This window comes from Homo sapiens, chromosome 3 (genome assembly GCF_000001405.40).
Source record: "Homo sapiens chromosome 3, GRCh38.p14 Primary Assembly".
In the NCBI taxonomy this organism is placed as follows: Eukaryota; Metazoa; Chordata; class Mammalia; order Primates; family Hominidae; genus Homo; species Homo sapiens.
Window position 1 is genome coordinate 127,182,938 of NC_000003.12, and position 25,104 is coordinate 127,208,041.

A 25,104-nucleotide genomic window follows, 5' to 3' on the forward strand; every position below is an offset into this window, starting at 1 on the left:
CAAGTAGGTCAATTACACACCCTGCCCCTCTCCTGGCCAGCGGGCAACACAGTGCAGTGAGTACCTTTGTTTCTGGGATTAAACAGATGGCTGGATCGATCCCACCAGCTTCTCGCCTAAGGCAGCCCTGGAGAGGTGGACCTTTGACAGGGAACCTGATCCCCTGTCTCCCTGAGTCACACCTGGTCAAAGCCCCTCCCTCCTCTACTGCGCATGCCTCCCCAACCCTTGCCTGCCCCTGGGTGGTAAATCTGGGCCCCTTCATCTCTAGGGGAGGAGTCAGCATGGGTGGAGGCCATCACTGCTTGGAGCCCACAGCAGCCCCGGTGGCCCTCGCTGTCCTAGACCATGCAAGGCTGCCTTCTGGGCACAGCACCAAGGAGGGACATGCCAGGAACATCAGGCCTTTGAGGGTGACCAGCAGATTTTGTTAGGGGAGTCAGGGTGGGGATCCTGCTTGGCACAGGGTGAGAGGGTCAACCTGCCCTGGACAGAGGAGCACAGGCCTTCCCTGCTATGGCCCTTCTCCCTGCAGCCTGTCCTCAGCTCAGTTATGCTGCCCTGGCTGTCCCCTCACCACTGCCCCAGCCTGCCATTTGGTCTATGGACCCTGGGTCAATGTGTCAGGGTGCGCAGGGGGACACTTCTGCCAGGGTGGTCTCTGGGATCCCTTTTGTGTGCCCCAACAATGCATCAGAACGTGTTGATCTGCATATCCAGTGAAATGCCAGGTACATCAGGTTTTTCTACTTTACCAAACTCAGTGATTAAAGCCAACCTTCCATTCTTTTTTAAACCCTCCCCCTCCCTCTCCCCCTCCTCCACCTCCCCTCCCCTTCCTTTCTCTTTCAAGACAGTGTCTCACTCTGTCACCCAGGCTGGAGTGCAGTGGTGTGATCTCCGCTCACTGCAGCCTCAACATTCCTGGACTCAGATGATCCTCCCACCTCAGCCTCCTGAATGATGGGACTATAGGTGCACTACCACACCTGGCTTAAACCTTCATTTTCTTTGTCAGTGACAAGGAGACCCCACATCACCCACCTGCCTGGCCCCCATGGTGGACCTGTCTGTGGACTCGCTCTCTGCCTGGGCACTTCCCTTGTCATGGGGGTCTCCTGTGTCACTGATCACTGGTGGGGGCTCCTGCCACACACCTGCCCAGCCCCCTAGGGTTGACCTGCGGCCGCCCTTTGGCCATTATCTCCATATGGGCATCCCCCTCCAGCTGCCTCGGCACCTTCAGTTTGAGGTCCTCCAGCTTTTAGAACCTCGTGGGAAGTCAGCACCCAGCCGCCTTAGCCTCCAGGGTCTTTGCTTACCCCAGTCCTGTACTCCTCGGTCCTCCCAACTCAGCCCCACACTCAGGCAGCTTCTTAAACTGATAATGAGAGACAGCCCCGCACCTCCAACTGTGCTTCTGGATCCTGAAGTCTGAGTCACAGTGTAGGAACTCACCTCCGTTTTTAGGGTGAGAAAGCGGATGGCTGGCCCGTGCAGGTGGGTCCTTAGGCTCTTCCTACAGAGGATGCAGCGGCAGGGAGTCCCCCCACAATGGCCCCTCAGATCCACAGGTGGAGGGGGTGGCAGGAGTCTGAGAGCAGGGGAAGAGGACAGCTCTTTTTTGGGGTGAAAACTGACGCGTTGGTGGGGCGTCCTGCTGGGGCCACAGCAGGCCGGGCTCCGTGGGGAAGGACTGCTGTGGAGCCACTGGGCGCTAGTCCTTGCAGTGCCGTCCCCTCCTCCCCCGCACCGTCTGGATCTGTCATTCACCACTCACTCAGGGAGGTGTCCCCTCCTCTGTCGACCCCACTGTCCTCTACAACTCTTTATGGCTTCTGTCAAGCTTCGTCTTCTAGCCACTCCTTCTCCAGAGTGTTGTTCTCTAAGGGTAACTCCAGTGTGACATTTTACTTTTGAAAAGGCCTCAGGCTTGATAAAGACTTTTTACTTCTCCCAAGGAGGGCCACTGCATTTCCTTTTGGAGTCTGCTTCCCCCCAACTGCCCTTGTCTGAACAACAGCCAAAGACCCACCAGAAATCTGTTGACAGTGCACACATCCCTGACTCCCAGGCCTCAGGTAGGGGGACAGCCCAGCCGCCCTTTCCCACGGTTCCCCAGCGGCCAGGCTGAAGACCAGCTCTGCAGGGCCAGTGCTCTGCCTGGGACCCAGCCTGCAACTGGGATGGGACCCTTGTGGATGAGCCAGAGGGAGGAGTGGGGGTGGCTGTGGAGAATTCAACTAAACACTTACATTCATGCACACGCTTCTCTTTCCTTATAAATGCATTATGAGAAGCCTTGAACATGATGAAACGTAGAAAGAACAGTACAAAGAACTTGTTGCCCAAATTCCACAAGTATTAACATTTTACCATATTGCTTCCTCTCTCTCTCTCTATCTCTCTCTCCATGCACAATGCCAAACCACTGAAAACTAAATCAGAGATATTACAATACTCCGGAAGACAGCTCTAAAAAATAAGGATGTTCTTTCACATTCACATGTAGCATTATCTTAGCTGCAAAAAACGACCAATTCCATGATGTCATCCGATACTTATTTACTCCATATTCAAGTTCTCATAACTGTCCTCAGAATATATTTTACAGCTTTGTAAACACTAGGGCCAATCAATAATGATGCATTACAGTTGTTTGTTTTGTCTATTGACTATTTTATTAAAAAGTAAGATATACATTCTTGATCCTCTTTTAGATTATATAAATGTATTTCCTTTTACCTCCTTCTGCAGAACAGCATATAAACCTTAACAGTAAAGCTCAATGATTTTTTAATTGAAATATAATTCGCATACCACAAAATTTACCCTTTTAAAGTGTGCAATTCAGTCGTTTTCAGAATATTCACACATTTGTGCAACCATCACCATTATCTAATTCCAGAATATTTTCATCACTCCAAAAAAAATCCCATACTCATTAGCAGGCACACCCCCTTCCCCCTCCCCCAGCCCTTGGCAACCTCTAATTTACTTTCTGTTTCTATGAATTTGCCTATTCTGGACATTTCATATCAATGCTTGACTTCTTTCACTTAGTTTTTTTTTGTTGTTTGTTTTTGTTTTTGTTTTTTGAGCTGGAGTCTCAAACTGTGGCCCAGGCTGGAGTGCAGAGGCACAATCTTGGCTCACTGCAATCTCTGCCTCTCAGGCTCAAGCAATTGTCCTGCCTCAGCGTCCCGAGTAGCTGGGATCACAGGCGTGTGTCACCACACCCAGCTAATTTTTGTTTTTTCAGTAGACCAGACTGGTCTCAGACTCCTGACCTCAAATGATCGATCCACCTCAGCCTCCCAAAGTGCTGGGATTATAGGTGTGAGCTACCACACAAGCTTCACTTAGGATAATATTTATAAGTTTTGTCTATGTTGTAGCATGCCTCAGATTTCATTGGTTTGTATGGTGACATATGTCATGGTATGGATAGACCCCATTTTGTCTATTCACTTGTCAACTGATGAACATTTGGGTAGTTTCTGCTTTTTGGCTACTATGACTAATGCTGCTGTGAATATTCATGGACAAGGTTTTTGTGTGGACATGTGTTTTCTTTTGGATATAGACTTAGGAGTAGAAGTGCTGGGTTACATGGTAACTCTATTTAATTCTTTCAGGAAATGCCATACATTCCCACCAGCAAGGTATGAAGGTTCCACTTTCTCCACATCCTTGGCAGCACTAGTAATTGTCTTTTTATTATATCCATCCTAAGTGGGTGTGAAGTGGCATCTCATTGTGATTTTGATTTGCTGTCCCCCAAGGACTAATAATGTTGAGCATCTTTTCATGTGTTTATTGGCCATTTGTTTATGGTCCTTGGAGAAATGTCTATTCAAATATTTTGCCCATTATTAAACTGCGTTATTTGCCTTTCATTGTTGAGTTTTGAGGCTTTTAAAAAATAAATTCTAGATGCATGTCCTGTATCAAATATGATTTACAAGTATGTCCTTCCATTCTACAGATCTTTTAATTTTCTTGATAATGTCCCTTGAAGCGCAACAAAATTTAATTTGGTGAAGTCCAGTTTATCGATTTGATCTTCGCTTGCTTGTACTTTAGGTGTCATTTCTAGGAAACTGTTGCCTAATCCAAGTCATGAAGATTTACATCTACAAATTCTTCTGATAGTTTTAGGTTTCCCATGTAGGCCATTGATCCATTTTGAATTAATTTTTCTGGGTAGGCATGAGGTAGGGTCCAATTCCATTCTTGTGCATGTGTGTATCCAGTTAACCTGGCACCATTTGCTTAGAAGACAGTGCTTTCCCCCATCAAACAGTCCCAGCACCCTTGATGAAAATCAATTGACCATAAATGTATGGACTTCCTTCTAGATTTACAATTCTGTTCCATTGATCTATACGTCTCTCCTAGGTCAGCACCACATAGTCTTGATTACTGTAGCTTTGTAGTAAGTTTTGAAATTGGGAAATGAATCCTCTAATTTTGTTCTTCTTTTTCAAGATGGTTTTGTATATTCTGGGTCTCTTGCATTTCCATATGAATTTTAGGATCAGCTTGTCAATTTATGCAAAAAGCCAGCTGGGATTTTGACAGTTACATTGAACTTGTAGATCAGTTTAAAAAGTATTGCCATCTTAACAATATTGTCTTCTAATCTGTGAATATGGGATGTCTTTCCATTTATTCTGATCTTCTTTAATTTCTTTCAATGATATTTTGTAGTTTGCAGTTACAAGTCTGACACTTTTTTGCTAAATTTATTCTTAAATATTTCATTCCTTTTGATGGTATTGTACTTGGAATTATTTCTTAATTTTATGTTTTGATTTTTTTATTACTAGTAGGTAGAAATACAATATAATTTTTAATATTTTGATCTGCATCCTGCAATCTTACTGAACTCATTTATGAGCTCTCACAGGGTTTGTTTGTTTGTTTGGTTGGTTGGTTGGTTTTCCTGGTAGATTCCTTAGGATTTTCTATATACATAATCATGTCACCTGCAAATAGAGATAGTTTTACTTCTTCCTTTCCAATCTGGATCCTTTTATTTCTTCTTGCCTAATTTCTTTGGCTAGTACCTCCAGTACAGCCTTGAATAGAATTGGTAAGAGTAGACATTCTTGTCTTATTCTTTCTTTTAGGGAGAAAATATGGTGTCAGCTGTGAGGGTGCTGTTTGTTTGTTTTTATAGATGTCCTTTATCAAGTTGAGAAAGTTCCTTTGTATTCCTAGCTAGTTGGGTGTTTTATCATGAAAGGGTGTTGAATTTTTGTCAAATGATTTTTTCTGTATTTATGGAGATGATCATGTGTTTTTTGACCTGTATTCTATTAATAGAATATATTATACTAACTGATTTTCAAATGTTGAGCCAACTTTGCATTTTGGAGATAAATCCCACTTGATCTTGTATAATTCTGTGTATATGTTGTTGGACTTCATTTGCTAGTATTTTCTTGAGAATTTTCAAGAGTTACTGGTTTGCAGTTTTCTTGTGATGTTTTTATCTGGCTTTGGTATTAGGGTAATGCTGGTATCATAGGATGAGTTGGAAAATCTTCCCTTCTCTTCTATTTTTAGGAAGAATTTGAGGTTTGGTGTTAATTCTTTAAACACCTGGTAGAATTTACCAGTGAAAACTATCTGGTCCTGGGCTTTTCTTTGTTGAGAAGTTTTTGATCACTGATTTAATCTCTTTATTGCTATAAGTCTATTCAGATTTTCTGTTTCTTCATGGGTCAGTTTTGGTAGTTTGTGTCTTTCTAGAATTTTTTCTGTTTTTATCTAGCTGGTCTAATTGGTTGGTTTACCATTGTTCTTAGTATTTTCTTATAATCCTTTTTATTTCTGTAAGTTTGGTAGTAATGTCCCCTCTTTGATTCTTGATTTTAGTAATTTGAGTCTTCTCTCTTTTATTCTTGGTCAATCTGGCTTAAACATTTGTCAATTTTGTGGCCTTCTCCAAGAACTATGTTATGGTTTCACTGATTTCTCTCTATTGCTTTTCCATTTTCTATTTCATTTATTTCCACTTTAGTTTTTATTATTTACTTCCTTGTTCTTGCTCTGGGTTTGGTTTGCTCTTTTTCTAGATTCTTAAGGTTGAAGGTCAGGGTATTGATTTGAGCTTTCTTCTTTTTTTAACCTAGGCATTTACAGGTATAAATTCCCTCTGAACACTGCTTTCACTGTAACCCATATGTTTTGGTATGTTGCATATTTGTTTTCATTCATCTCAAAGTCTTTTCTAATTTTCCTTGTGATTTCTCATTGACCCATTGGCTATTTAGGAATGTGTTATTGATTATAATCTGTCTAGGTATGGATCTCTGAGTTTATCCTACTTGGAATTCATTAAAGTTCTTGGATGTGGGGATTGTTTTTCATCCGATTTGTCAAGTTTTCAGCCACTATTTTTAAAAATATTCTTTCTGCTCCTTTTTCTCTTTCCTCCCTCTCTAGGACTCCCATATGTCAATGAATTTTTATTGTAATTTTATCTATGTAAACATATGTAACTATCAAGATATAAATCACCCCTAGCCCCCAGAAGCTTCCCAGGGGACCCTTCCCATCAATCCACACCACCCCCTGGCCCTGGAGGGTGACTTCTAACATTTATCATTATAGATTATTGCTATAGATTATTTTTGCCTATTTTTGAATGTTATACAACTTAAACCACACAGAATGAACTCCTTTATGTCTGGCTTATTTAGCTCAACATTATGTTTGTGAGATTCATGTCTCTTATGACATGGAGCAAGAGAACATTTGTTTTTATTGCTGTGTATCATTCTGTTGTATGAACATGTCACACTTTTGTTGATGAATATTTGGGTTGTTCCCAATTTTACCTGTTATGAATAAAATTGCTATAAACACTCTTGTACATATATTTTGTGGACTCATGCAGTTATTTTTTCATATATATGTGTGTGTGTGTATATATATATATATATATATATATATATATAACACCTAGGAGTGTAAATTTTGGATTATAGGGTACTGCTAGTTTTCCAAAGTATTATTCCAATTTAAAGTCTCACTATCAACTTTTGAGGGTTCCAGTTCCTTCACATGCTTCTCAGCACTGAATAATGTCAATTTAAGTTTTTAAAAAAATTAATCAATTAATTAATTAGAGACAGGATCTCACTTGGTCACCCAGGCTGGAGTGCAGTGATTCTATCATAGCTCACCACAGCCTTGGCTCCCACCTCAGCCTCCTGAGTAGCTGTGACCACTGATTTGTGAGCTGTGACCATTGATTTGTAGAAGCTTTTAATATATTCTGTATATGTATCTTTGGTTGGATACATGTATTACAAACATCTTCCTCTGGTCTGTAGCTTGTCTTTTCATTCTCTTTTTGGTATCTTCTTATAAATATCTTTTAATTTTAATGGAGTAAAATTCATCAATCTTTTCCTTTATGGTTACCTTTTTTGTTCGTTATTTAAGTAACTTTTGCCTGTCTCAAAGTTATAAAGTTATGCCTTTTTGAAACCTTTTATTTAAAGTAATTTTAGATTTACAGAAAAGTTGTAAAAAAAAAACAGAGAATTTATGTATACTCTTCATCCAGCTTTCTCTAATTTTACTATCTTACATAACCATAGTACAGTTATCAGAATAATGAAAATATTCTTATTTTTCTTTTAGAAGCTTTATTATTTTGTCTTGTATTATTTTAAAAGTAAAATCAAGTCTATGACCCACATCAAATTAATTTTGCCTATGATGTGATACATGAGGGGATGAGATCTATTTATTTTTGATATGGATATTCATGTGCTCCAGCAACATTCATTGAGAAGCACTTCATTTAGCTACTGAATCATTGGCCCCTTTGTTGAAAATTATGTGTGGGTCTGTTCATGGACTCTTTATTTTGTTTCATTAATCTATTTGGCTATTGCTAACTTATTTGTTGTAGCTTTACAGTAGATCTTAAAATCTGGAAGTGTAAGTCCTCCACTTTATTCTTCTACAAGATTTCTTGGGTATTTCTGGCTTAATCCCATTATAAGTGTCAGAAACAGATTTTCTTTGGTGAAACCAGTGAATCATTAATCAACTTCATGAATGTTAGAGGTGATTAAAACTGAAGAAATAAATTAATCTTCAAATTGAAAGGTCATACCAAGTGTGTAGCAGAACAAACCACCACATAATAAAAACAAATCATAATTACATTCCAAGGACATGTCAAAATATGAAAGGATGAAGAAAAATTTATATTAGTTGCATGGGAAAAGAAACTATTTATAAAGAAAGATTCTGATAAAAATTACAGTTCTCAGCAACAAAAGAGGGGCAATAGGTTAATTACACATTATTTTCAAAGTGCTAAGATCAAGTAACTCTGAACCTAGAATTCTATACCCAGCCAAATTGTCAATCAAAATTGAGAATGAACTATGTTTTTGCATATAAAAACTTTCCAAATTTTCCTATGTACAGATCTTCATAGAGTGACTAACAATACAAATTATAGAATTATATGAATTATATATTATAGAAATATAGAATCAAAATTTTAAAGGAAATTAAGAAAGAAATTGTGTAAGTCAAAATGCAACAGTGAACACAGTCATTAGTGAAAGCTGTTAGTAAGTCTAAATAAGTATGGGTTAAAAAATGATATAACAAGATCAAGGTAATATTCCCAACATTAATATAGGATGTTAATATAGGGGAAATATGAAAGGATAATTTTTAAATTGTGCTAAGAATATTGTATTCATGTAGGGAGAATATAGCTATTGATTTGCTAATTTAAGGAAAACAAATATGAATGAAGTAAAGTTATTTATTGAAAGATAAGTACTGACCAGGCCCCTTGGTTCATGTCTGCAATCCCAGCACTTTGGGAGGCCGAGGTGGGAGGATTGCTTGCACCCAGGAGTTTGAGGCTGCAGTGAACTATGATTGTTCCACTGCACTCCAGCTGGGGCAACAGAGGGAAACCCTGTCTCAAACAAACAAATTTAAAAAAAGATGAATACTGACAGTAATGCGAACAACTCAACAAAAACCATGTATGGTAAGGGTGGTCTCAGACAAAATATGATTCAAGGCAAGAACCATTCTGAAGAACCAAGGAAAGTGTATTGGGCAAGGTTCCCGTGTGGAACATTCAAGTGGTTAATTGAAGAACACTGAATGTTAATGCATGGACTATTTTCAGAGGCCTGGGAAAAGGTAAGGAAAGCAAGAAGGAATGTCAAAGTCTGTGGACAATAAGGGGTCATGACCATTCTGGGCTGAACGGCAGGGAAGGCGCAATGTCATCAGCACCCAGAGGCAGCTGGGGCTCTCAGAGAGAAGTGACTGCTGCTGGTCATCTGAGACAATCAGTTGTGTTGTATACATTTTATAATGTCTACTTTGGGGCTTCTTGTGACCTTCTGGATAAGCAACTGGATTTTCTGGGTCCTGTTGATTGCATTAACGTGGGTATCCCCAGGTGGTGTGAGGATGAAATGAGCAAATGCGTGAGAGGTGCTCAGAACAGAACCTAGCACAGAGGAAGCTCCCCTTAAACGTTAGGGTATAGGGGTACTGGGAGCTGCATACCCGAATGACCGCACTCAAAGGAGCATGCACATTCAGAACATTTGACTTCTCTTCCTGTGGGATGGCCCAGTTGTTTAAGCTTCGGACCCAGCAAACGCAGGATCTGCCCCAGCTGAGCACACTGCTCTGCTTCTGATGAAAACTCTGCAATGGCTCGCGTTGCTCCCGGGACAGAGACCAACCTCTTTTGCCCCATCCACAAGGCCTTGGAAGGCGGAAGGCCTCCCCTCTGGCCCTGTGGGCCTCCTGTCTCCTCCCTCGTCAGCTCCACTCCCCCAGCACTGCTGGGGCCCATCCAGCGTGCAGACTCCACCGAAAGCTACCGCCTGCAGGACTCCTCCCCAATGCCTCCCATCCGAGAGGGGAACGTCTTCATACCCTGGTAACACCTCTGCGCTGTTGGCGTAGCCCTCAATACAATTGAGTTCCACCTCATTTCTGGGATAAGCAGCTGACCCAATCAACCCCACCGGCGTCTACACCTCGGAAACTGATTGAGTCCTGGGACCTCTTCCGACCACCGCCAGGAGCCCAGGCCCCGCCCCGCGGCTGCGCGCATTCCCGTAAAAGCCCGGTGGACTGCGCTCCTGGGCCGCTTGGAATCTGAGGCCTCCAGTGGTCTCCTGCCGCCACCTGGACCGGGGACAGTAACGCCTAGGGAGCCCCAAGACCTCTTGAGAGAGCATTTCAGCTCTGTTGACAAACCTCAACCACTTGAGGGACTTCGCTGGAAAGAAACGTTCTAGAAAGACCAAGTGGGTAAGTAGCGAGAAAGAACAAAGTTAGCCTTATGGGATGGCTGAGGGGGTGGGGCGAGGGCCTGAGGACCTTCTCTGACACCATCCTCTCCGCACTCTCCCACCCAACTCCTGGCATCTCCCCTCTCCTCCTTCCCGCCCCTTCCCTGCTTCTCTTGCAGTTCAGCAGGCCTGAAAGTGTCCGCGTCGCACCCCACCCTATGAGACAGCTCTCTCCAGCCTGTTCCCTCAGCCCCAGCCCCTCCCCTAAAAGCCAAGCCCAGGACCCTCCTGCCTGCCCCCTCGCAGAATCATCCCTCCACCCGCTGCAGCTGCGAGGTGTGGGTAGAGGCCCAGATTAATGTGTTCTCTGTTCTGCCCAGCTCCCAGGCCCGCCCTAGGGGACCCAGATGAAGGCAGTCTGGCTGCTTCGGACAAGGAAATCGGGTTTTGAATTTGATAGCTGTTTACTCTTTACTTACTAAAGAGTAAACAACAAACCCAGCATGTTTTTCTCCATATCCTTTGAAAAGCCAGTATAGGGCTTTATTCTTTATCAAATTAATTGTAAAAATCAAAGTTCCATTTTTGTAATTTGATTTTTTTAAAAACATGGTGAAGTGGAACATTTTTACATGATTTTGTATAGCTTATTCTGTGGCTTGCTTGTGGTTGCCCTTGGGCGAGATTGTTGATAAGGTCTTATTTACCTGCCGTGGACTAGCAAGAGCTGTCTGTATCTGACATATGATTAGCTCTGGTCTGCCACATGTTGGAGATATCGCCCTCTATTTTGTGGTTTGTCTTTTGATTTTGAACATGATAATTTTGTGGCATTTTTTTTAACCAGATATTCAATTTTTAAATAGCCAGTTTTATCTGCCTGTATTTTCTTGTCTTGGTATCATGCACAAAGGGCCTTCTCCACCATATTAAGTTTTTGAGAAGCCAACTAGGCATTTGTGCATGTTAACTCTTGCAGGGGTGTCCAATCTTTTGGCTTCCCTGGGCCACACTGGAAGAAGAATTGTCTTGGGCCACACATAAAATACACTGACACTAAAGATAGCTGAAGAACTAAAAAAAAAAATCATTAAAAAATCCCGTAATGTTTTAAGTTTACGAATTTGTGTTGGGCCATATTCAAAGCCGTCCTGTGCCACAGGTTGGACTAGCTTGCTTTAGAGGATGATCTGAACTTGCAAGGATACGCGTATCACAGGCCAGAAGTACATACGATGTAGTGTGTTTTTCCAGAACTGATTTTCCATCTAGAGGCTACCTTTGGGCAGTTGAGGAAGAGGGATTTCCTCCTCAGTATGGGTAACCTTGGGCACTTGAGACTTTCTCAGTGCATTTCGGTTTCCTCCTGCCCCCTTTTCCAGGAGTTGGCTCCTGCAGTCTGGGGCCAGGGTGTCTTTGCCTCAAATTTCTGGGTGGGCCATTTGGTCAGTGGTCCACATCTATCCTACGGGCATCTCAGCTGGGCCTCCTCCTACTGGTCCTCAGCTTCTGTCCCTGCAGGCATCTATGAAACACTAAGCTCCTTTCTTGTCACTGGCTGTCATTGTGTGTCCTTCAGGTCCCTCAAGAAGATCCTCCCTGGGGCTACTGGCCTGTCCTCCACCCCAGGTCCTCTGCCCATTCGGGAGGAAATGAATGCTTCTTCAGCCACACAGGGCCCTCTGCCCTGACCTTGCCCACGTTTCCATCTCAGAGCATCAGGCCACACCTGAGCACCTCCCATGGTCCAGGACCCCAGCCAGGAGAAAGAGCGCTGGTGCTCTCTTCCCTTAAACCTGTCCTCCCGCGCTGTGGCAGAGAGGAGGGGGAGCACCACTGTCAGATCTCCAGTTTCCGCTGTAACTGTGTTTTGCCTGGGTGGAGGAGAGAAGAGATACACCAGACCCACTCAGCCCACACACACCTAACTATCCGGGAGTGGGTCCTTGGCACACACCAGTTGCTCAAGACAGAAACTTGAACATCTGCCTGGCACCTTCCTCTCCTTCTCCTTACATCCATTTCTCTTCCTTTCCCGGGCCGGTTTCTTCCATCTGTGGTCCACCCTCTGATCTAGAGAGGCTCCTGAAACACAAAGCTGGTAGAGCAGCTTCTCAAAGGCTCCCTGCCATGCTCGCCCTGAGAGTTCTGGCAGGCACTCCGGGGCACCTTCGTGATCTGACTTCTTGTCTCTGCCCCCAGGAAGTCCCTCCCTGCCCTCACTTGTACCCTAAAAGGTTTCCCAGTGTCCTCATCTGCTCAGCTCCTGACTCCAATGGGCAGCCTCCCTCTAGGCTCTGCCAAAAGGACTCTGGAGGCACCTGGCTGGTTTCTTTCTCATATAGCGTCCTCTTGTTCACCTGACTGGAGGTTGTGGGGTGTTTCCAGTCAGCTGTGCCTCAGTTTCTTCCATTCCATGCTGCCCCTGACCCCAGCCCTCAGGACCCCAGGGGTCCTGACCGCACCAGCCTCCGCTCCTTGATGCTGGGGCTGGGGGTGTCCTCTCCTGGCCACAGGACCTCTCCACCGTCTCTCTGTGCCTCATCCTTGTCACCTAAGACAGTCAAAGCATGTACTGCGCATCAGTTCTTATTTCAGAAACAGCTCCAAATTTCAAGGAGATTCCTCTGGGGGACCTTCGTTTTGGGGAAAAACACCTGGGGCTACCTGATGTGCCCTCTCCTGGATACTGGGCCTTTGATCATCTCTTCACTTCTTTCTCTTCCTTTCCATCATGTCCTCACTGTGTCAGGTGTGGGTGCTGAATATGCTGTTCACAACATTCCAGAACACTCCAGGAGAAACCTGACAGGCCTTGTGTTCAGACACTGCATCCTTTGGAGGAAATGTTTTGGGAGGTCCTGCTTTGTGGGGCAAGCATCTGTCAAGGATGAAGTGCTCCGGGACCTGTCTGCCCCTTCAGCAGCCCCTGCACTGGGGTGGCCCCTGTGGATTTCTGGCTTTGCTGTTCCTTCATCTGTCAGCTTAGGGGCTTTGCTGAATCTTTAACTCTCCCTCCAGCAGGTCTCCAACAGACTTGGCCATCCATACTCTCCAGTCTTTGGTCTCTGTGACTTGCATAGAGGGAAGCATGAGGAACTGAATTTGGAACTTGTTTTGATGTCCCTAGAAAATGCCTCACGTGGCTGCTGTGCACCCCTCCCACTGCAGGGGCCACTCGTTCCTACCCAGGACACCTTGCTCCCCATCCTCCCTGGAGATGCCTTGATCTTGGCTCTTCTGTCACCTCACCCCCAGCTGTCCCCCTCCTCCCATCCCCTCCTGTGCGACCTGGTCTCCCTGCCCTCTGACTGGCTGTCTGCTCACCCCACAGATACCAGGAGCCCCGTGAGGTGCGTGTGGCCTCAGCTTGCAGAGGAGTGCACTTGCCAGACACTTCGGGGCTTTGAAGAGCACAGCTCATCTAAGATGGGCACAGGTGCATCAGAGAAACAAGCAGAGCAGAAGGTCCGCCGTGCCTTCGAGGCCTCCGAGGAAGCCCACGGGACTCTGGCAGCCTCAACCCCCTGGGTGGCCATGGGCTCTGCCTATGGTTCCTGTACCTGCTTGGGAGCCCAGCCTGTAACTGACCTGGCCCTCTGGCCTGTCATCTACTCCTGCATGGGATTTTCCCCACAAGCTTACCCAGCCTTCTGGGCTTACCCGTGGGTGCTCTATGGTGGGTATCTCTGGATGGGTTATCCCCCTCCAGCTGCCTTGGTGCCTTCAGTGTGGCTGTATTGGAGGGGCGCCTCCAGCTTTGACCCCCTCATAGGAAGTCCGTATCTGGCTGCCTTGGCCCCCAACCTATTTCCTTTCCCCATGAAATTCCCACCCACCTACTCCTTGGCTTCTCCCACTCTGGGCGGGGCCACCTCCAGCCACTGTCCCCAGGTGGGATGCTGGACTCCAGCCAGCTCAGCCCCCAGGGCTGCCGTAGAGGGGCCATCCAGAGGAGCTCCCTACTTGAAGACATGCAAAGCCCCTCCCTCAGAATGGGCCTCCAGGTTCGGTATTTGGGCACCTTTGCCCTGCTGCAGTTCAGAGCTCCGCCCTCTGCCCCCTTCCCCCATTGAAGATTCTCAGCTGGACCCGGGCTGCTCCCGCTCCTCCTCCCGGTCACCCTGCAGGGCCCGCCGCCGCCTCTTTGAGTGCTAATCAGCCCTCTAGACCCAGACCCACCCAACAATCAGAGACATGTCTGGTGGAGCCCAGCCAGCTGTGGACTTTAAGTTTTTGGAAGAGTCTCAGATGTAGGTTGTTTACTATTCTTCAGTACAGAGTACACCTCCTGGACTCATGCAAGGCCCCTCTATTTGCTATTTCTCTTTACTTTGTTTTTCTGTTTGCCCTTCAACCCTGATACTGGCACCTTTTCTCCTCCCCAGACTGTCCTGGGCCCGCCCTCTAGTAGATTTGCTGTGAGTCCTCAAACATGCATGCATGCAACCTTGTAAAATGAGCTTATTTAAGCTCAATCCAACCTGTAGAAGCGCTCAGTTAGAATAGGCCTCCAGGTTTGGTATTTGGGCACCTGTGCCACCCTCCAGCCCAGGACTCTCTCTGCCCCTCCTCAGCAAAGACCCTCAGCAGGATCCCCGCATCCCTGGCCACCCTGTGGGGCCTGCTGCTGTCTCTTCCAGCATTGGTGTGTCCTCCAGGGAACCACACACTCAAGCACTTTGGAACCCATGGAATCCAGTGAGCACGTGCTGTGGGCTCTGCCTAGAAGCTTCCAAAACCTGTTTGTTCCAGTGGACACAGAGTAGGAAATGCTGACTCGTTCAGAGCGCTAGTGCCCTTGGGTCCTTGCGGGTGTGCTCTTCTCACTCCTCACCCCATCAGCACCTTCTGGGGTAATGCACACACCAGTAAAATGTACAGTGCATGCTTTTAAAAATTTTTAAATAAATGATACTATGCTATAAATCATGTTTTCTCCAATTTTTCATTCATTAGTTTAAGACCTAGCCATATCTGTATATATGTATAGTGTATTTTGCTTATTCAAATTTATTAGCGTGTTTTCCATACTATTTCTTGCTGTATTTCTTGTTATGTGCTGTATTCCATTTTTCTTTAAAATTTTATTGTGTATATTTGAGGTTTACAACGTGATGTTATGGGATACATACAGGTAGTAAAATGGTTACCATAGTGAAGCCGACTAACATCTGTCATCTCACGGCTACTTTTTTTTGGTGATAAGAGGAGCTAAAATCTACTTATTTGACAAAAACCCCTAGTACAATGCCATTTCATTAGCTTTATTCCTCATGCTGTACCTTAGAGCTCTAGGCTTGCTCAGCCTATGTATATTTAGTATCCTTCGACTTACATATCCTGGTTTCCCCACTCCCAGCCCATGGGAACCACTGCTTCTTTCTCTATCTCTGTATTTTAGCTCTTTGTTCTGTTTTAATATTCCACATATAAGGGAAGCTGTGCAATTTTTTTTTCTGTGTCTGACTTATTTCATCATTCTCCATGCATGTTATGGCAAATGGCACGATCTCCTTTTTAAAGGCTAAATAATACTCTATATCCATTATATATATATGGATATAATCATATTTTCTTTATCCATTCATCCATTGATAGGCATTTGGGTTGTTTCCATATCTTGGCTATTGTAAATAATGCTGCCATGAACATGGGAGTGCAGGTATCTTTATGAGGTGGTGATTTCATCTTTTTTGGGTACATACCCGGAAGAAGCATTGCTGGGTCATATGGTACTTCTAGGTTTAATTTCTTCAGGGACTTCTATATTGTTTTCTATAGTGGCTGTACCCCTACTTTTCTTTTCAAATATTGTATAGAAAATTTCCCATGGATTTTTCTGTTTTATTAGTATCTATTTTCGACTCAGTGATTCTGTGTCTTGAAGTGTCTTCTCATTGTGAGCTTGTTTGTTTTGTAACTTCTTAAAGTTAATAACAGCTAGTTCATTTTTAGGCTTGATTCTTTTCTATTACAAGTTTTTAAGGCTATAAAATTCCCTCTAAATATACTACTTTAAAATGTATCCTACAGTTATGATATATGATATTTTTGTTTATCTTTTTAAATAATCACTATTAAGGAAAATCAAATAAATTTTATTTTCTTATAGCCTGACAAACCAAAATTGTTTGTAGTTTAAAAGTCTCATATAGAATTTCTATAATATTCCAATTAGTATTCCAATTATCATTGCTGTTATAATGGACTAATGAGAATTAAAATAATGTCTATATGATATTGATAGAGCATTAGTATGGAAGTTATTCACTTACAATATTCATACCAATAATATGTGCACTACCCAAAAAACTATAGCTTCATCCACAGCACTTTGAGCAAAACTTGAATCTCTTGAGTGGCAGTGCTTGTATACCTTTTGCTGATCTTATGCTGATGGTGAAGGAGAAATCATTAATAATACATATTGAAGGGAGGAGAAAGATTGCCAAGTTTCTTGGTATACTTTTGGAATTTGAAATAATTGATCTATTAGAAGGTTGAATTAACCTTGAAGAAACCCAATTCTGTCTCCAGGACATGATAGCCTAGGAAAACCCAGCCTGAGATGAGGCACCCATGTAACCTCCTGGAGCAGGTGCGGAGGGACAGGGCTGCAGGTCTCCAAGACCCTCAGCTGGGGAGGGGAGAGGGAGCTCTTCAGACTAGCACTGGGGAATTGATTTCTCCCTCGAGCCTGAAGATCACCCCTTCTGCTCTCCGTAGTTTTCTCTTGGCTCTGTGTTTTGGATGATGCCTTCTCTAGAGTGGTGGTTTCTCAAGATGGTTCTGTTTCTGCAAGTGCCTTTTACACAGCCTGAAGCTTTCTTATGAACTTCATGTTCTTGGATGAGGGCAGCAAGGCTCATGCCAGATGCTTTTCTCTTTTTACGCTGATTGCAAAAGACTGAGCAAATGTAGGAGACTGTCGATGACAGGTACACACACGGCTGGCCCTCCAGGGGCTATGGAGGATGGGGGCAGCCCGGGTTGTTGGGCTGCTTGACCACTGCTTCCTGCAGTGTCCCCAAAACACTTGGGTGGCCCCTTGGTGCTGCCAAAGTCTTCCACAGGCTGAGCTCCCCCATGCCCAACAAGGAGCACAGAGCCCCCAAAGCCACCTGCTAAATGGGGCAGAGCCTGCAGAGAGCTGCTTGCAGGGAGCTGGGAGGACGTGTGGGGCTCCCTCTCATAATCTGTTTTTACATTTTCTTCTCAGCTTTCCTGAGGTATACAGCAGTCCCTCCTTATCCTCGGTTCTGCTTTCTGAGGTTTCAGTTACCCACAGTCAACTTTGGTCTCAAAATATTAACTAAAAAATCCCAGAAATAAGCAATTTCTAAGTTTTAAAGGGGCCACCATTCTGAGTAGTGTTATGAGATCTCTGTCTTGCCCTGGGAATGGAGCCTGCCTTGTCCAGAGTTCCATGCTGTCTTCAGGTTCCACGCTGACTTCATCACCTGCCTGTTAGTCACTCCACCGTCTTGGTTATTAGGTCCACAGTGGGGGTACCTCTGCTTGTGTTCAAGGAACCCTTGTTTTATCTAATGGTGGCCTCAAGGCGCTAGAGGAGTGCTGCTGGCAATTCACATAGGCCAAAGAGAAGCCATAAAGTGCGTTCTTTAAGTGAAAATGTGAAAGTTCTTCACTTAATAAGGAAGGAAAAAATAGTATGCTGAGGTTGCTGAGATCTGTAGTATAATAAGATGCTGAGAGACAGGGAGACCACACTCACATAACTTTATTACAGCATATAGTTATAATTGTTCTGTTTTATTATTGATCTTATTGTGCCGAATTTATGAATTAAACTTTACCATAGGTATGTATAGGAAAAACAGTGTATACAGGGTTTGGCACCATCTGTGGCTTCAGGCATCCACTGGGGGTCTTGGAACATACTCCCCTCAGATAAGGAGGGACTACCGCAATTACATTTTTACATTTCTATTTGAAGAATTTTAATTATAAGGAGTAGTAGAAGGAACACCCATATATCCCCCATCTGTATACAATTGTTAATACTTTGCAACCTTTGTTTTATCTCTTGGTCTCTATTCATACAAACAAATACACTTACGCATAGTATCATGCATATGGATTATCTATCCATTTGTAGGGCTGTCTATCTGTTAAACCATTTGAAAGTAAATCACAGATGTCTGACACTTCCTCCTGCACCTCTCAAAAATAAGCATTCTCCTACGCTACCACTTATCATTATCATACCTGACAAGATTAATAATTCCCTAATGTCTATTATTCAGAACATACTCAAATACTCCCAGTTGCCCCAACAATATACAGTGTTTGATAGCTTTTTAAAAAAACCTAGGATAGATCACATAGCCATCTATATATCCTATTTTGTGGAGTGACTGTCCCAGGTTTTTTTTCCTTGGGTTGGTTGTGGGGTATGTGGTGTGTGTGCACTTATTCTATACATGAATGTTTTGTCAGATACAAGTATTGCTTATATCTTCTTTGTGGCTTTTCACTTTTAAAATGGGACGTGTCAATCAACAGAAGTTGTAAATTTTATGGATATCCAATTTTTATTAATATTTTCTCTTTTGGGTAGTGCTTTGAAAAGCCTGTTTAATAGCTTACCTGAAGGTCATGGACATAGTCTCATATTTTTTTCTTGAAGGTTTATTGTGTTACATTTTATACTTAGGTCTATAATCTACTTCAAATTAATTTTTGAAATTTGTTGCCTCTTGGCTTGTGGAACAGCCTTTGGCCTATTTTAGTACATTTTCCCATGTACTTAAAAATTCTGCAATTTAGGGGTATAATATTCCATATATGTCATTTAGGTGAAATTGGATAATTATTTTGTTCAAATATATGTTATTATTGCTTTTTATCTTCTTGTTTCATCAGAGTTGGCATTAAAATCTCCAGCTCTGATTGTGACTTATTCTATTTCTCCTTCTAGTTCTGTTGATTTTTGCTTTATATTTTTAAAGTTATGTTATTAGGTATATAACAAATTTGGGACAAAGGATGATTTGTCTTTTTTATAAGATGTCCCACTTGACATCTTTCAATGCTTCTAACATTAACATCTGTTTTGTGTGATGATAATATATTCATTCCACTTTTCCTTTTCAGGCTAGTCAAGTGAAGCAGTGAGGGTGGAAAGTGAACAAAGAAATCTATAACTGCCTGTGATCCATTAGCTGTAGACACCACTGCCTGTGTACTTTTCTTTTGGTTAGTGCTTGCCTTACTTTCAATCACTTCATGTTCTTAAGTGTTTCATAAACAGCAGGTCGATGGTTTGGTTTTTTCAATCCAGTCTGACAGTCTCTGTCTTTTAACTGGATTGTTTACACCATTTATATTTAACAGAATCACTGCTATCATTGACCTGATACCATTACCATTACTATCTCACTATTTGTGTTCTCTTTGTTCCCTCTGCTCTTTGTTCCTTTATTTCTCCTTTCCTGCCATCTTTCATAATATTCAAAGTATTTTTTAATTATTCCATTGTACCTCCTCTATTACTATTTAGTTACACATTAGTGTATTATTCTTTTGGTGGTTACTCTAGAGATTAAAATATGTACCCTTGATGTATTATAGCCTACTTTATATTTGTATTTTACCACTTTTCCAAATCATGCATGAGCCTTCCAGCAGTTTTAACTCCATTCTTCCCTCTGCTTTTGCCCTATTGTTGTAATGCCTTCTATTTAAGTTGGTAGTTTCACAAGACATTATTGTTTGAGACTTACAGCCATTGCTGTTATACAATTACTCATATATTTGCCTTTCCAGCAGTCTTCTTTCCTGCCAAAATCTCGATGCCTCTGCCTGGAATCATTTTCTTTCAGCCTGAAGAACTACTTCCATGCTTTGAATCATGAGGAATTCTTTCAGCTTATGTTTGTCTGGAAACATCTTAATTGTGCCTTCTATTTTAAAGGATATTTTTGCTGACTCTTTGTCCTAGGTCAGCAGATTTTCCTGAAAGTATCATTCCATTTTTTTTCCTCATGGGATTCTAAGTCACAAGGAAGACTTACACACTTTGGACAACTTTCAGAACAGGAAAAAATCTTCAAAGGCTTGTGGACACTCACACCAACATGTTCACTAAGGTCATTTTTTATTATTGATGGTAACTTGATTCCATTGCTTGAGAATGCAATATAAAACCAGTTCTTTGAAATTTATAGATATTATAAACCCAGTAAATTTTGTAAACATGTTAAGTACATTTTCATTGCAGCGTTCTTTATATGTCCATATATGGAAGAGTTCTGATCAAGTTGCTAATTGTATAGTTTAAATCTTTTATATCATTAACTATAATTTTTGGTTTCCTGATCTTTCAGTTATATAGAGATGTGTGTTGTGTGTTGAAATTTATCAAAGTATTTTTCTTGTATTTACTGTCATCTTGTATTAATCATTTTGTTATCTTCTGTAGGCTAATAATGCAGTGGATTGTGTTGAATCATCCTTGCAACTGCAATCTCCTTGCAGTTGAGATAAACTAAATCTGACCATATTTTTGTATTTTGCAATATATTTTGCAATATATTTTGCATTTGGTTTATTGATGTGTTATTTAGGATATTTTACATAAGGGAGACATAATCTAGGTATGTTTCTTGTGTTGACCTTACCACTTTTGAATTCAAAAACTAAATTTCACAGCTTTTCCTCTGAAAAGAAATTTCTGGAGTCTGTTTATGAGAAAGTTTGAAAAATCACCTATAATCACCACCTGTTCCTGGGACTTTTTTTTTTTTTTTTGGAAGGAGTTTCACTCTTGTTGCCCAGGCTGGAGTTCAATGGTGCAATCTCAGCTCACCGCAACCTCCGCCTCCTGGGTTCAAGCGATTCTCCTGCTGCATCCACCCGAGTAGCTGGAATTACAGGCATGTGCCACCATGCCTGGCTATTTTTGTATTTTTAGTAGAGACAGGGTTTCTCCATGTTGTTCAGGCTGGTCTCGAACTCCCAACCTCAGATGATCCATCTGCCTCGGCCTCCAAAGTGCTGGGCATGAACCGCCATGCCTGGCCTCCTGGGACTTTTAAGGAATAAAGGAGTTACCACTTTGCTTATCACATTTATTTTTGTATTAGTAGTTTTTATATTTCTTTTATATAATAGTTCTATGTTTTATTTAAATGCATCTTTTCTCATCTTAATCGATCTTCTCAATGTTTTGTCTATCAAAGTTTTTTTCAAAGAAATCATTTTTTCACTCTTACTATTTTGTCATTCTATGTTCATGGATTTCTGCTTTTGTATTTTGTCCCTTCATTTTATTTCCATGGATTTGTTCTGTTGCTATTTTTTTACACCTCAGTGGAATGCATAGTGTTTTCTCTTTTCCCTTATGATGAACCTAAAGCTATACATTTTCTTCAGAATACCCACCTCTTTAGCTTTGTCCCACAAATTTGGTAGGTGGTATATTCCTTATTGCCTGTTGGACAGGGCTGAGGAGCTCCTAGAGCTTCAGTCCCTGTGGGGGACCAGGTTACCTCAGCCCAGCCTCAGGCATCAGCAGCAGAATCCCACAGTGCAGCTCTTGCCTGGACAGGCTTGGGGCCGCCATAGCATTGGGCCCAGAACTTAGCATCTGGGCATCAGATCCTCCTCTTCTTCGGCCTCTTCACCCTGCTCAGACTGTTAACCCCATCACTGCCCCCATACAAAGCTCACACACGTGCTGTGCACCATGGGCAAGACAGGAGCCCACCCAGTACTCATTGAGCTGCCGCTGTGAACCCTGCCTGAGCTCCCCAGTATGAACACGCCTTGCTGACCTGGGGCTCCTGGCCACACCCTGAGCAAGTCCAAATGCGCCTGTGTACCATCTCAGCAGACACAAGGGCGCCCGGTTATGACGGGATATCCTCGTAGGGACCGTGCACTGTCTAACCATTTAACTGCACCAGCATTGCTGAAGGCATCTATCTGGGTGCCAAAGCTGGAGAACATCTTCAGGACTCTCCCATTTAAACTCAAGAGTTCACTTTGGAGCCCGGTGGGGCATTTTGGAGGTTAACAGCCATCCTCCAGAGCCACTTCCTCCAAGGAGCACAAGAGGCTGGTGTTTCTATGGGTCAGGAGTGATGAGCCGTGTGCTACAACCAGGAAGGGGAGGAAAGCAGATGTGGGCCGGCGTGAGTGCCAAACCACTCAGGAGTGGAGACAGCACAGAGCAGGGGCAAAGCTGGTCCTGGGCCTGTCCTGCCACCAGCCTGCACGCCCTCCACCTCACCTCCACTCACACCCTCCACAGGCTCATGCACTTGCCTTTCCACAGGGCGATATTTAGATAGTTAATTCCTTTCCAAACTCCTGGCATTCCTATGCCCACATTAGAGCTTCTCCCTGTTCTTGTACTTTATATAATACTTTTTTCAAGACTTGAGTCACAGGTGATATATTTTATTTTAAATTAGCTTTTGTTACTCCATATAATCCCCCTTTTTTTTTTTTTTTTGAGACAGGGTCTCTTCCTGACACCCAGGCTGAAGTGCAATGGTGCAATCATGGCTCATTGCAGCCTCAACCTCCCTAAACAGGTGATCCTCCCACCTCAGCCTCCTGAGTGACTGGGACTACAGATATGTGCCACCAGGCCTGGCTAATTTTTGTATTGCCCAGGCTGGTCTCAAACTCCTGGGCTCAAGTGATCCACCAGCCTTAGCCTCCCCAAGTGTTGGGATTACAGGTATGAGCCACTGTGCACGGCTGTAACGCCTTTTCAATAGATGCACTACATGTTAAATCTAATCACTAAAGGAAATTTCAGCGTCACTTACCAGATGTAGAATATAAAACTAGATACAGTGAAAACAGAACAATGTGATTACATTCTGACTGGCTGAAGGTGTCGGTCTCAAGCCTAGACTTGCTTTGCTAAAAAGAGAGATTGGTAGGTGTTGGTGTTACAGTCCAACCCTCAGCTCTAAGAGGCCACAAGAAGCACACTGGGTCCCTGATTCCCCCTTGTTGCAGAGCCTGAGCTCTGGAGGACAGACCTAGAATCTCTGGCCTTAGCCACATCCACTCCTGTCTGCCCCAAGTTCCCCACATGGAGTTTCGGTTCTGCCCAGGGTACGGGGCAGAGATAAGAAATGAAGTCTCTGCTTCCTTTCCCAGTCGGTGGAACCCAGCATTGGAAGAGCAACAGGAGCACCCTGTCCCTGGCTCCCTTCTTCATAGGTTTCTGACTCAGTTTCCCCACTCACACTCTATCTCTGTGCTGGGGTTGAAGCCCAGCTGGCCTCCCCTAGGACACCCTGAGGATGGGGCACCCTCCACCTCTGGGCAGCTCCTCTCTTGGACATGTTGGCTGGCCAGAGCCAGGGAAGCTGTCCCCCTAACCTCTACCAACGGCCTGGACTGCCCCAGCCTCCCCTGTGAGATGCTCACATGGCCCAGGGTTGAAGGAGTCGACTTTCAAGGGCAGGGCCAGGGCCAGGGACAGGGGTAGGGGCAGGGCCAGGACCAGGGGCAGGGTCAGAGGCAGGGCCAGGGCCAGGGGCAGGGGCAGGGGTGCACACACCTCGCCCTGGGCCTGGGGGCTGGGCAGCTATCAGTTTGCCCCTGTTGTCCTTCTGCTGGGCTCTGCACGAAAGACCTACAGCTCCCAGGCTCCCTTGCCAAGTGGCTTCCTGGCAGGCGTTGGCGAGAGGGTGAGAGGAAGGGGAGAAGCCAGGGTGTCTTCCCCTCCTCTCTCTGCCTCTTGGGCTCTGGCTCCCCTGGGCAGCCCCTGCTGTGGCCTGGCTCCCTCTCGATGCCCTGACGTGCAGGTCCTGGCAATATCATTTCCCTCCATTGTCTCCTCAGCCTTGCAGCAATGGTGGCTTCCGGCCATGGTTGACCGAGCTGATCACTGTCCCATCAGGCTTCCCAGCAATTCCATCACCCAGAGAACTTATTCTCTGAATTAAATTCGCTTGGTTTATAAAACTTCGAGGGATTTGTCTCTTGGAGGGACAGGCTGTGCCCTGTGGAAGGGCAGCAGTGGGAAGCAGAGGGGGCCTCTGAGGGCTGGCACACCTGCCTGGAGAGGGCTGAGCTGCAGGGCGGAGCAGGCCTGCCACTGTCCAGGCCCCGGGTGGTGTGCTAGAAAGAAACTACCCCTGGGTTTGGGTGATTTTGGGGACTCTAAGCACAGGGGTTGGCTCAGATTGGCTATTGCAAAAAGTGGGTCAATGCCACGACTGGGTTTCTGGCTAAATCCTATCTATAGAGGGGGTGCATGTAGACAGGCTGTCAGGGGGACAGAAGTGGCAGTTGCTTACTTTGGCTGAAAGAGTGGTTGCTTGGTATTTTGTGGGTGGCACAGCAAGTGACCTCACTTTGGGCAGAGACACATCATGAAGTGGCCTTGCTTTGTCTCATGTCATCATGTCTCAGTGACCTTGGCCTTGGTTGGTCTTCTGTGCAATGGTTAACGTCTAATAGAGTGGACCCAGCTGTAAGTGCCTGGCCAGCTTCTGGATGGGAGGAGCTGCCCTTTTTCTTTCTGGAGAGGCATCGTGTGAAACATTTCTGACCATGGCCTTCCCTTGCTCGAGTCCCAGTGATGCTCTGCCTGGCCCAGTGTACCCAGCACAAGTGCCCCTGAACCTGGCTCCCAGGCAGACCAAGGGTGCCAGCACCCACACTGTGTGGGAGGAAAGCACTGCACCCCAGTTCACACATTTAATCCTGCAGTATGGGTGGCACTAGCACCATTTTCCAGATGAAGAAACTGAGGCATGAAGAGGTTAGGGCCTCTGCCACTGTAAGA

At 44.2% G+C, this 25,104-nt stretch overlaps 1 protein-coding gene across 1 annotated transcript, besides 2 other annotated features; it reads left to right on the top strand.

Annotated features, from left to right (window-relative positions):
• Positions 1,761-2,628: an enhancer, noted in NCBI's record as "H3K4me1 hESC enhancer chr3:126903541-126904408 (GRCh37/hg19 assembly coordinates)". NCBI's record gives its function as "activates a minimal SCP1, AML or CMV promoter by ChIP-STARR-seq in primed H9 embryonic stem cells {active_cell/tissue: H9 hESC(primed)}" and the evidence as "EXISTENCE:reporter gene assay evidence [ECO:0000049][PMID:30033119]".
• On the top strand, positions 10,194-15,248 carry PRR23E (PRR23 family member E). Its single transcript, NM_001007534.2, has 2 exons — positions 10,194-10,338; positions 13,654-15,248. The coding sequence occupies exon 2, from the start codon at positions 13,749-13,751 to the stop codon at positions 14,475-14,477; it is 729 nt and encodes a 242-aa protein (NP_001007535.1). The 5' UTR covers positions 10,194-10,338; positions 13,654-13,748; the 3' UTR covers positions 14,478-15,248.
• Positions 13,538-14,482: an enhancer, noted in NCBI's record as "H3K4me1 hESC enhancer chr3:126915318-126916262 (GRCh37/hg19 assembly coordinates)". NCBI's record gives its function as "activates a minimal SCP1, AML or CMV promoter by ChIP-STARR-seq in naive H9 embryonic stem cells {active_cell/tissue: H9 hESC(naive)}" and the evidence as "EXISTENCE:reporter gene assay evidence [ECO:0000049][PMID:30033119]".